At 53.0% G+C, this 12290-nt stretch overlaps 1 protein-coding gene and 1 long non-coding RNA gene across 9 annotated transcripts in view, besides 1 other annotated feature; one reads left to right on the top strand and one right to left on the bottom strand.

Annotated features, from left to right (window-relative positions):
* GLI2 (GLI family zinc finger 2) overlaps positions 1 to 12290 on the bottom strand; it is a 256786-nt gene that overhangs the window by 119075 nt on the left and 125421 nt on the right. For 2 of the 8 annotated variants that reach the window (XM_011510969.3, XM_017003818.2), the window contains exon 1: positions 5981 to 6119. The exons of the other annotated variants lie outside the window; for them this stretch is intronic. In XM_011510969.3, the coding sequence (XP_011509271.3) occupies positions 5981 to 6110 (130 nt within the window). In that variant the 5' untranslated portion in view covers positions 6111 to 6119. Of the gene's footprint in view, positions 1 to 5980; positions 6120 to 12290 lie in introns of those variants that run through there. 8 annotated transcript variants of the gene reach the window in all.
* Positions 815 to 1737: an enhancer, noted in NCBI's record as "H3K4me1 hESC enhancer chr2:121629417-121630339 (GRCh37/hg19 assembly coordinates)". NCBI's record gives its function as "activates a minimal SCP1, AML or CMV promoter by ChIP-STARR-seq in naive H9 embryonic stem cells {active_cell/tissue: H9 hESC(naive)}" and the evidence as "EXISTENCE:reporter gene assay evidence [ECO:0000049][PMID:30033119]".
* Positions 6177 to 7199, top strand: LOC124907880 (uncharacterized). The gene is made up of 2 exons (XR_007087220.1): positions 6177 to 6469; positions 6788 to 7199. It is a non-coding gene; the product is annotated as an uncharacterized LOC124907880 (long non-coding RNA).

Genomic DNA, 12290 nt, shown 5'->3' with positions numbered 1-12290 from the left:
TTATTTGTGTTTTTCACTCTTCTTCTCTCTTGAATAGACACTGTGGGTGTCCAGAGGCTGCTATGCAACAGACCCAAGGCGGAAAAGCTAGGAGAATGCATCCTTCCACTAGGCCAGACAGCAAAGAGGTCTGTCAAATTGAAAAGTAATGCCATCTTTCACATTTTTGTTGTTGTTCTGGGAAATATTTTCCATAAAAATTGGTTGTTTTCATTAACATGAAATGGGTCTATTACTATTAGGTTTAAATAAGTTTAAAATATCTTTTAAATTTCTCAGTTTTAATTTCTAGAACAGTAAATACCAATAAATACACACTACAAAAACAAAAGCTCTTTGAAGCTACCAATAATTTTTGAGGGTATAAAGGGGTCCTGAGACCAAAAAGTTTGAGACTGCAACTGCAGAAAAACTTGAACGGAAAGGCATCAGTAATGACAGTATCCATTCTCAGGTGGAAAGGTTACGAGGTAGCAAGCACAATATAATCCCATTTTGTAAAAAGCAGGCAGGTATGTGTGTGTGAATAATTGTGCACACACTATATACAACACAGAAGACTGCAAGCATATATTCCAAAATCTTAACTCTGGCTCTCCCTGGGTGGTACACTGAGGGTAGCCTCTTTCGTGTCTGTCACTCACATTTATTACTATTGCCATCAAATGAAGTGACTAATTAATGTTTCGAGTTTAGCCTGTCACGTTCAGAGAAGCCTACTGAATAGTAATTGAACAAGTGACATATCTGAGCCCTTACCATGGGCTAGTACTATGCTGAGTGTTTCAAGCACAAGAGCTCATTTAACGCCAATAATACCTATGGATTATCAGCCCCATTTTACAGAAGAGACACTGAGGTTACAGCAAAGTTGAGCATCTTGTCCGCAATCACACAACCAGCAGGTGACGACACCTGGACTCCAATCTGGGCTGGCTTGTCACCAGAAGCCTGTGCTCCTGATCACTGGGCTAGGTGGCCTTCCCTGTGGACTCTTCCAGCCATGGAGCAGGGCTGTATGCCAGGGCCTCAGCCTGCCCACTTCTTGGTGTTGACCACACACAGCCAGCATGCCCACTTTGCAGTATGACCTTCATCTCTGGTAGGCAGGACCCTAACATTCTATGCATCCTGCAGCCCCTGTGTCCACCCCTAGTCTGGGCAGGTGGCGAAAGGACAGGACTAGGCAGCAGCCACTCCTCACTGGGGAGTGCACCATTCCAGGGGACCCCACTGTAAGCTGGTTAATTCCAGCCACCACTCTCTGTCACGGGGCACACCCTAAATCAGAACCTGGGTCCAGTCTCTGTGGCCTAAACTGCCAATACCTTGAAAGTGAGTTCATGGCTTAGGGGCCACTCTGGAAACATCTACCACCTCACCTCTGCTCCATGACCACAGCTATGGGCTTGGAGCAAGTGTCACAGCGTGAGGTCACTCCACCTCCTACAGCTCTCTGACCACAGCTGTCAGCCCACCAGCCACTGACCACCTGGCACAACAAACTTTGTGCTCCCTTCCAGGGCCCCTCACCCGCCTGCACAGGTGGCTCCTGTTTCTTTTGCCTCTGGCACAATGTGACGTCGTGGTTGTCATGCCCAGACCCCGGGGGTCCCTCCATGCTCACCCTGGGAAGGGCCACAACTCTCAGCTGATTTCTGAACTGGTAGGCTTGCTGTGGGAGTTGAGAAACATAATAAATGGGCCCGGCTCTGTTTGCAGCACCTAATTTGCAATAATATTGAAGTCTCCAACAATAACTCATTTACTCTTATAATAAATATATAAAAAAAGACAAATTGCTACATTGAACATGCATTTTCTTCACTGCAAGTAGCTGCTACCCCAGGGAGAAAGCCCTGTGCTGCTAACTAATAGTAAATCCTTTGGAAAATCATGTGTCATAATGATGGACAACCAGGGAAGAGGTATTAAATAGATTTAGAGGTTAGCTACTCTAACAGGAACAAAAGACGTCCTTTGCAAGCCATACCTATAAGAGCACAGATCAGCCCATGATTAGCACCCACGGTCTGACAGCTCCGGTGCACAGGAGGAAAGCAAAGTTCTGTCCTGGTCTGGGTGTGGCCAGCCAGGTGTCAGGACAGAGTGGCGAGGGGACGAGGGAGCATGGGTGACGCCTGGGCGTGGGTTCAGGCAGCTGTGTTTTCCAGCCCTGAAGTCTCATCTCCGTTTCTCAACATCAGCCAGCTCCCGTGCATCCTCACTGAGTAAACACTCATGGAGCGTCCACCATGCACAGCTGTGTGGGCACCAGGAAAGCAGGGAAGTACAGCCCTATCTTTGAGAAGGAAGCCATGGCTTTGGGATAAAGAGGCTCCTATGGACATCCATGGCAGGGGCTCTGGGAGCACAGGCCAACCTGGCTGCAGGTAGCTTCTGCAGGGGCTGCTGCCTGAGTCAGTGTTAAAGCCCAGGCTCTGGCCTGGAGAAGAACAGGGCTAAGAAAAGGACTGCCTTATTCTCCTGCTTTTACCATAATATTTCATGCACTAGTGCAGCCATGAGTCTTCCCAATCTCCTTATTCAAGTCCCAGGATTTGCCTTTCTCAATTAAGGAATAGGGGTTGACAGCTGTGTTCAAAATCCTGAGTGTTCCTTGCCTTCCCACCCAGCTCCTATCTAACTTTGAGTTTCTGTGGCGGCCCAGGACTCGGTCTAGAATTGGTGCCTGATGGCTGCTTGCTGGACTGAAGGTGGGCATGCAGGTTGCATGTATTACACGCCAGGTTCTGCAGGAAGAGTCTCTCATATCACAGAAGAGGAAGATGAGGCTCAAGAGGGTTATATGACCTGTGGAAAATCACACACCTATGATGACAGCAACCACAGTCCCACCCTAGGCTCTGGGATCGATCTGGGAGCAGGTCTGAAGGTGGCACATGGCGCGGTCACTTGAAATAATCAAGGGCAAGTGGTCAGCTCAGCAGCCTACACTAAGCAACACAGGTGTGAGCCAGCGCTATCCGTGAAGTTCACATTCCGGCAGGTGTCACTGGCAGTCACACCTCCGCTGAGGCCATACTCCAATCTCTTTCACCAATTCCCTGAGACCTGAACCAAGTCGCTGCCCTCTCTCGGGACTCAGTTTCCTCCCCTGTGAAATGAGGGCGTTGACACCACACAAGATCTCTACAGCTTCTCACCACTCATTCATCTATTCATCCAATGGAGGAGAATGTTTTCTCCTGAACTGATGATGCAAGTAATCTACAGCCATGAGGTTACTCATCCAGACTAAGGCAGTTCCATGGAAACACTGCTGCAGACCTTGTTTTGGTCCCTAAAACATTAGTTTCTCCAGCATCAACTATCACCTCAGCCCATGATGAACACTCATGGTCTGACAGCTCAGCGTACAGGAGGAAAGAAAAGTTCTGTCCTGGGCTGGGTGTGGCAGGCCAGGTGTCTGGACGAAGGGGCAAGGGGGTGAGGGAGCACGGGTGAGACCTGGGCATGGCCTTGATAGCTTTGCACTTCAATCCTCTTATACTTTTGAAAAACTTTGCTTTAAAAGCCATTACTGTATATTAGCCCAACATATTTATACATGTTAGAAATTGGAAAACTTTCCAAAACTGTCTAGAAAGAGAAACAGAACACTAAACCTACTGGTGAGAGCTCTGCAGCACCCTGCAGAGCCCTCTGGACAGTCCCCCTGAAGAACTCCCTGGACTGAAGGTCCCCCTGCAGGGCCCCCTGCAGCCTGGAGCTCAGGAGGGGGTGTCCTTTGACCTTGGGGAACGGGTTTGCTTGCATTTCCTTCCTTCCTTAGTACCCTGAGCCACTCTACTCCTCTGTCTTCAGAATACAAATACAGAGATTTGATTTCATTGGTGCTTTATGCCTTTGGTATTGCCAAATTGTTCTCTCTCTGGCTTCCAGCATCTCACTTCTGGAAACCTTTCTGTAGTTTAAGCGACACTGCCTGGTGATTGATGACTATTTTGCAACTGCTATCAGTTTACTATTTTAACCAATCTATCATAAATCAGGAAGAGGAATGCTGGACCCAAGTGGAGAGTGTAGCTTTTGCTCATTACCTAGGAGGATTATGGCCATTTCATAAAATCCATTATCTAGGGAAAGGATCCTATTGGTGAGGGCCAGCAAAATTCATTTCATGCTTCAAAAGTTTGTGATGGGGCTAGCTAGGGGAAAAAAACTAAATTGTTTGGAAGGTGGGGATCATGATTTGTTTAAAACTCAAGAACAGCCAAGACTGAGCTGTGCCCATTATACCAAGTGGCACTTTGTGTTCAAATGCAAAGGCACTGTTGCCCCCAGGGCCCAGCCCCCTGACCACAGCCCTCCCAGGTCTCACAAACATAGGACTGGCTAGGGAAGTGTGCCCCAGGTTGCTTCTCTCCCCTCCCTGTCCCCACTGGGGCCAGGCCACTCTCAGGAATTCCAGGCCCAGAAATGGTCTCCTCTGTGACCTCCCTGCCAAAAAAGCATTGGTACAAAAACAGGCACATAGACCAATGGAACAGAATAGAGAACTCTTGGCCCAGTCCTGTCTCCAGAAAGCAGCTAGAGCCATGTCCCCACACAACCACCTGGTCATGTCCTTCCCAGTGCACTGAGAGGATCCCAAATCTCATGACCTCCAATACGATGTGCCCGCCCCTGCACCTTGCTTCCTGCAAGGTCCAAGGGCAATGACCTTTCCCCTCTTCCTTGAGCTCCTCTTTCCCTCTCAGAAGATGCCACACGTTCTCCTTGCCTTGGCCTGGAAAGTCTCCCCACAAAATGCACAGAAGGGTCTTTCCAGGACACTGCTGCTGCATCCCTACCTGTTACCTGAGGGTTCCAGTCACCCGCCCCCTCTTCCCTCGACCATTTCTCTTCTAGCAAGTCACACTCTGACATGATTTGAGGTCACAATCACCATTTCCCAAAAGGCAGCTCCCAGGAAGGTCTCACCTCCTTACCTAACTTTGTTTCTGAATGGCAAAGGGAAAATGCAAGTGTCCCCAGGAGGGAGGGGGCCAGCTGCCCCTGCCTGTTCCTTCCCTGCAAGGCCTTAGGGGCAGCATCACCTCCCACTGGAAAAAGTCCTCCCACTTTTAGGACCTCTGGGGCCCAGAAGGCAGGGCTGGGTAAAGCCCTTTAGAAAGTCAAAAGAAGAAAGATTCGATAGATGTTGCAAAGAAAAAAGACGATGAAATAAAGTGTCTTCTAGATTTTGCCAAGCCTCCAGAACATTCCTGTTCGATATGATTTTGTTTCCTTCTCTCCTATACTTAACTTTCCCCAAATTCATTCCTCACGCGAAAACAGCATGGTCCCCCGGGAAGCTGTTTTAACACACACATGTTTTTCTAAGTAACCGTGAGCTGGGACTCGCAGACAATAAAGCTTCTTGTCTGGAGTCCTCCTTGCAGCTCAAACCGCGGGGAATTGAAGTGGCGAAGACTGAGCTCTCAGAAGCTCGGCTTTGCCGGATCTCAGAAGAAACTCTCAGTTCAGAGTTCTCACTGGTACCCCGAGAGTTCGAAGGGCTCGGAGTACATCCGTTGCGGGAGGCTGGGGGGGCAGGAAAGAACGCCTACGGCTGACAGTGTGAATCTTCCAGAGCCCCCAGTCCCTGGCACGCTCGCCTGGGTCCACGCAGGAGCCGCCTCACTTTCTTGCTCCATTTTCTCGGCAGTGCCTCCATGCCTCCCCACATTCCCTCTCTCTCCTCCCCTCCAGCTGTGTCCACCCAGTTCCTTCCTTTCCTCCCCCATCCTCCCTCCCTCCTTCCCTCCAGCTCCCCCCGCCTGAGGCCCAGCACAGCCTCCCTGCCTTGGCGCCTACTTATGCTTGCTGGCTTCAAACTTGGAGCGCAGCAGACAAGGGGAAGGGACGTGGGAGAAGGGCGCTGCAGGCCAGGCCTTCACACACAAGAGCGGCCTCATCAGCACTCCTTTCCAGGGAGCGTCTCCGGAAAAGCTGCCGTCCTCCTTCAACTTACCCAGCGTGCGGGGAGGGCGGAGGGACGCAGCACCCAGAGGGGCGGCGGTGCGGGGAGGGCACTGCCCAGCGGCGGCACTGCCCAGCGGCAGGAGAGGCGGTGGACCGCCGGGCTGGAGCGCAGGGAACATCAAGTGGCCGCCGAGGGAGGCGGGGCTGCATGAATCATTTATAACCGGCGGCGGCCAGGGTTTAGGAGCGCTCGCTGGCTGGCTGGCTAACGGAAAGGCTGGCTGGACTCGGGGATCCAGCCACACTGCTGGCGGGCAGCATGCTGTCCACCCTGCGGGTGCCTTTCTCAGACTAGGGCCCGCATGAATTCCGCCTCCCGGGAGAAGCTGACGTCGGCATGCCTTCCAGGGGCAGCGGCTGCCCTCCAGGGTCTGGAACTTGGGGGTCATGCTGCCTCCAACTCCTGACTCTGTGGCCCCAAGAGGAAGAGGAAGCTGGGTGGGATCTTAGGGGCCATGTGGACTAGGCAGCCCACTGGGTAAGAAGGGGAAATTGAGGCCCGGGAAGGGAGGGAGACTTGTCCAAGGCGCACAAGGCTGTGAAAGACATGACTGGCCCCCAGGCCACTGTGCACCTTCTGAGCCGGCTCCCTGCAGTTCCCTGAGGGCACTGAGAGCTGCAGAGCCTGGAAGTGGAGTCCCTGCGGGCAGTGCAGGTGAAGGTGGCTCCTCACACACAGGGGTCATGGGGGGATCTGAACCCACATCCCCAGCCAGCCTGAAATGTCACTCATCGAGTTTCAGTCTTTCGAATCAAGCTGTGGAAAATCACACCCACCCTCTTTTCCCTTCCGCAGGGAGTGGGCACGTGAAAAGTACTTTGGGACACGGAGTTCCAATCAAACAGAAGACTGGAACCTCAGCACCTCCAAAGCTCACGGACCCGCTGGTGAGGGCTGCCCGGACTGCTGATTCCACTCAGCCACTCACCACCCGCCCTGTCTGCCAGGTGCCATGTGCAAGGATGCTGCATTTTCTGCTAATGGGGGTGGGGGATGGCAGGAGACATAATGGGGTGGGGAGGGGTCATTGCTATTGTCGTCATCACTCTTTGTCACCCCAATGGCATTCTATACCTTCTTTTGCATCTGATCTCAAGGCATCAAGAATATGAAAAACAGCTCTTCTGTCCCCAAAAGGGAGATCTTACCTTAAGCAATGGGATTACCATTAAGTACAAGACATTTGACATTAAACCATTAAGCACAAGACATTTGACATTAATCCCAGGACAGGATGGGAGGAAGGGCCCTGACCAGGAGGGGGGCACTCCAGAGTCGGCCACCCGCTGCCCTTGCCCTGACCTGTCCCGTAGCTCTCCTCGTCACAGGCTCAGACTCCACGTCCCTACCCGAGACCCTCTGACTGTGGCCAAGCTCCAGCCCTACCCTATCCCCAACACCCTCTGCTACATTCCTGCAGAAGCACAGGCTGAGGCCTCTAGAGTAAGACATGTTTCTTATGCAGGAGGCGGGGGGCTATGGGACCCCATCTTAAGCCAAGAAATCAGCTCAGGCCTGCATGGGCCTTCCTCGAATCTTGAAGGAACTGTGGACATCTTTCAGCATGGGGAGCAAGAGTGAGTCCCATAAACACCAACTGCATCCCCACTCTGAGTCTGGGCAGTGCTGGCCCCAGGCACAGGGTGTTGGGCTGGAAATGGCCTGCTCTTCCCTCTCTTGAACAGGGGGGGTGCCAGGTCCAGAGAGAGAGCCTGGCCTGCCTGGGGTACCCGGAGTGGGACGCATGGCAAAGCCTTGAATGCAGAGGGGCTGCATGAGCAGGCGTTGGCTGGCACTATCTGAGCACCGCATATACCCTCCCCACGGCATACAGCAGCCCTTGAGATGAGTCAGGTGGCTTCCTGGGATGGCAGGGATGGGGAGAAGATGGTCAAACCAGACGCTGCTTCAGCGACACTTCTATAGGGCCATGGGGTTGCAAAGGGATCAGAGGTTTGTCCCGGTCACTTACACAAAAAGCTCAACCCCAACGCTCCCGGGTCAGCAAAACTGAAAAGCAGAACCCCTTCTTGGGTGGTACTGCCTCCAAGGGCACCGCAAAGGCCACAGAAAGAAAACAAGGGAAGGGAACCAAACTTTTCCTCAGCCTCGGGGGAGAACTAGACCATGCTGGAGGCTGGTGGAATGGAGCCTCCAACTCTTTCCTGATGGGACCCTTGCCAGAAGGACCCCGTCCCTCCTAGTGGCGAGGACAGAACTCCTTAAGTTCAGAATCCTGATCCTTCTGACAGTAGTCGGGTGGCAACTGTGTTACATGGGGGGCAGGGCATCTATGCAGACAGCAGGACCTGGCCCAGCTACTGTTTGCATGCAGTGAGCTCATCGATGAGGCTCCCCTCCATGCAGTGGCTGCTCTGGAACCGCGAAGGGCTCCACTGACACAGGCAAGCGCTCAGACACTCGAGCCACGTTTAGTCAGCCCTCCTGGCTCGGGCTCCCCAGCCCCGGATACTACCCATAGATGGAAGTGATGAGGCCTCAGGCAGAATCCCAGGGCACCATCACCAGCCCTTCCCCTCAGCTTCCCTGGGGCAATGTTCAGGCTCAGAATGAGGCACTACCGAGTTGGAAGAGAACTGGTTGGACCCCAACAGTGAATGCCCCACAGAAAGGGCTGCTCTCTGGACCCCACGGCCATCTCCAGAGAGACCCCTTCCCAAGGTGTCTGCAGCCTGGGCCAGGCCTTCCATAGGCAGTGATGATTCTGAGCTGGTTCTCTTCAGCCAGGCTTAGAGGAGGAGGGGTTTGAAGAAATGCCCTTCCATGACATACAAGTGACCCACAGAGAGCCAAAGCCCTGCTCAGGTAAGAGAGGATGGGGCCGGGCGCGGTGACTCACGCCCGTAATCCCAGCACTTTGGGAGGCCAACGTGGGTGGATTACGAGGTCAAGAGATCGAGACCATCCTGGCTAAAAATACAAAAAAATTAGCTGGGTGTGGTGGTGGGCACCTGTAGTTTCAGCTACTTGGGAGGCTGAGGCAGGAGAATGGTGTGAACCTGGGAGGCGGAGCTTGCAGTGAGCCGAGATCGTGCCACTGCACTCCAGCCTGGGCGACAGACAGAGCGAGACTCCGTCTCAAAAAAAAAAGAGAGGGTGGGAGTGCCTCTGGCAAGCCCACTCCAATCCCCATTCGACCCCTACCTTCAGCCATCGAGACACATGGGCTCTGCACAGAGCAGGACTTGCAGGGGCAGAGGTTGGAGATGGGATCAGCTGGAGCTGCCTTGGCCCTGAGCAACCCATGTAAAAAACAGCAGGTGGGAAACGGACACAGCCAGGCAACAAAACTACAGTCAAGACCAGCCTGTGTGCTCTTGTCCCAGGGGACAGTGTCTCCCAGAACTACCTTTCCTGGAAGCAGCCCTCCCGTCTGTGTGTGCCAGCCCTGCAGGAAGACCATGGCATCCTACCAGTGTCCCCACACGGGCCCTCACAGAGCCTCCTCCTGCAGGCTGCCACCAGGACTCTCCACACCCAGAACTTTCCCTGGCTCCACCAAAGCCCAGTAGGTAACCTCTAAGTCCAGTGACTGCCCTTGGGAATTTGTCTACTTCTCCAGCCGCCCTCCACACACAAGTCATTTTGCTGCCAAACTGGCCTTTCCATTGACCCTAATATGCCCGCAGACACAGCAGACACAGCAGACGCCACCCTCTCTCCTGTTCACATTGACGCCTCAGCCCCATCAACTCCTCCTCCAAGCAAAAGGCTTCCTGGAAGGGCTGCCTCGGCCTCGCCCTCCTGTGACTCAGCTTATCTGTGCTGTTCCCAGGACATATCAGACCCTTTATGTTGTTCTGAATACAGGCTATTCCCACTTACAAATGAGCTGTGTTCTCAAAGGTCGACATATTATAAATCAATGATTTGGAACTTAAATGCATTTTCCCATAAAAAATAATGTAACATAATATGAGTAGCTTTCCATGTTAGCCCACAAATGCCCAGATAATCCACATTGTGGCTAAGATACTACATAGATGCAGTTAAAACCTCTATTTAAAAAATACAATACTAGTAATTAAGTAGACTGAAAATCATTAAGCATCTGATTAAAACAGAATAAAGAACTGTGTGTTCTTCACGTGGAGTCCTAGTGCTTGAAGCAAGGCAGGCTCTCATCATAGCAGGAGAGACGGCCCGTGGTGGATTCTACAGCCCTGGGGTTGTGCAATCACAGGTGTGGGGTGGAGACCGCGGTCAGGAAGAGGCAAGCACTGACTGGGTCAGGCAGCCCTTGACCAGGGGCAACACGGGCACTGGCCGGAGCCAAGGCATGCAAGGGTCCTGAGGGGCAGTGGTCGGCTGCCGGAGAAATGCCTGCAATTGCTCCTCTTTAGGGAACTTGTGGGCTTCATGCTTCCAGGGTCTCCCAGAAACTCCTGTTAATCCATCAGTAGGCATGTTGTCCTCTCATTGGTCTTGACTAAGTCCAAGTTGTGAGTTGTCTAAGCCAAGTCCTCCAATGGCTCAACCACAGCAATAGCCCCTTCCAGGCGCTCTGGTCACCTTGCAGGCCTATGAAGCAGATGTTGTTAACATGGATGAAAACCCAAGACTTGAGTTTTTGCAGCTGGCAAGGGGCAGAGCTGATCCCCAGCTGCTCCACTGCCTCTGGAAGCTCCCTCCGACTGGGGAGCCAGGGAGGGAAAGAGATACGAGCTACAATCTCATGCTACCAATGAACACAAAGTACAATTTGCCACCAGCCCTATTAGCTGGAGGTCTGAGCAGGCTGTCCTCTTAGGCGGGAGGAGCCCCGCTCTGAGCCGGGGCCAGCCTTCCACTTTGGCTGTATTGCTAACCCCACACTCGCTCACCCAGAACCTCGGAGTGCCTGCCCTGCACAGGCACCAGTGAAGCGATAATGAATAAGATATTGTGCATTTCCTCAAAGATCTGAGAAGGCCCAGGCTTGGCCCCCCACCTGCCCAGCTCAGCACCCTCACCGGCCCACCTACACACAAAGTGCTCACGATGGACCCACAAGGGCTCCGGCTCCCACAGCTCTTGCCAATCCACCCCACAGAAGACAGAGAGACGGGGTCACGCACAGCTCAGCATGTTTTACAGATAAGGAAACAGGGATGCCTGAAGTCACACGGATACCTTAGTGGCAGGGCAGACATAACCCAGGAGTCCCTGGAGCCCCCAGACGGCAAGGCCTGCTGTGTCCCCAGTACCTCGTGCAATGCCTGGCACACAGCAGGAGCCTGGCGGAGGGGTGGGCGAACTGCATCCTTATGTTAGGAGGCATTTCCTGTGTAGGCATTTGTTTATTCCACAAACATTTAGCAAATGCCTTTGGGCCAGGGCTCACCCCACATTCATTCCAGGTCTCCTTGGAAGCCCTCCTGCATAGACATCTGCCCTCTATGCGATAATTTCCCTTTGCCATGGGGCTGCCTCCCCTTCACCATTACATAGCCTGTCACCCAAGCCTTGCCTGCCAAAGCGGGAAAGCTTTTCTTAGTTGTTTCTTGCAGGAAGAAAGAGGAAGAAAAGACTCACACACGGGCCACGTCACCCCTTCTGTGGTGCCTGCACATCTCCGTGTTCCTCCTCCCCATCTGGGGTGGTTCACCCCTCAGATGTATAATGAATCAGGCACTCGCTCATTAATAAGAAATGACAAGCGATCATCTCATTGAAATCTGCCGAGCTGCCAGAGCCTGCAGACACAACCCCTGCCTGGCTCTGCAATTCCACTGTGGTCAGGCGGTAATGAGTCTGTGGGGTGGACAGGCCAGCTAGTGAGCATATTAGCACTTAACGTGCAGGCAGGGAAGTCACATTTCTGCGGTGGACAGCCTCAGGACCGGCAGGTTAATGCCTTTTTCGTCTGTATTAACAAAGGGCTCAGCTCAGCAGGCCCCGGTTCCCCCAGGGTCAGCGAGCTGGGAGAATGCCACGGGCCGTGGAGGGTTAATCCCTGCTGTGGCAATCAGCAAACCCTGGTGTCCAAATTCTCAAGAGGGCCCAAGAGCAGCCCAGGCTTGGAGACTGAACCACTTGGATGCTTTTTTGTTTTAAAAAGCAAGTTGAGTGAGCAAAAGATCTTGACAGGAGACTGGATGACTATAGCGTGGGCGACTCCAGCCACAGGCCCAGGACTGGGACCCCTCCCAGGCTCCACCTGGAGCTGAATCACAGGGGCAGCAGGCCCATCCAAGGGCCATACTACAGGAGGTGCCTCCAGGAAGCCTGCAGGGGCCTGCTGAGCTTCTCTCATGGGGCACACCTGCTATTTCATATTCACGTCAGCACCCACTAC

Source organism: Homo sapiens, chromosome 2 (assembly GCF_000001405.40).
Source record: "Homo sapiens chromosome 2, GRCh38.p14 Primary Assembly".
NCBI classification, from domain to species: domain Eukaryota; kingdom Metazoa; phylum Chordata; class Mammalia; order Primates; family Hominidae; genus Homo; species Homo sapiens.
Note: the sequence above shows the minus strand (reverse complement) of the source record. Positions and strands in the feature narration are given on the sequence as shown.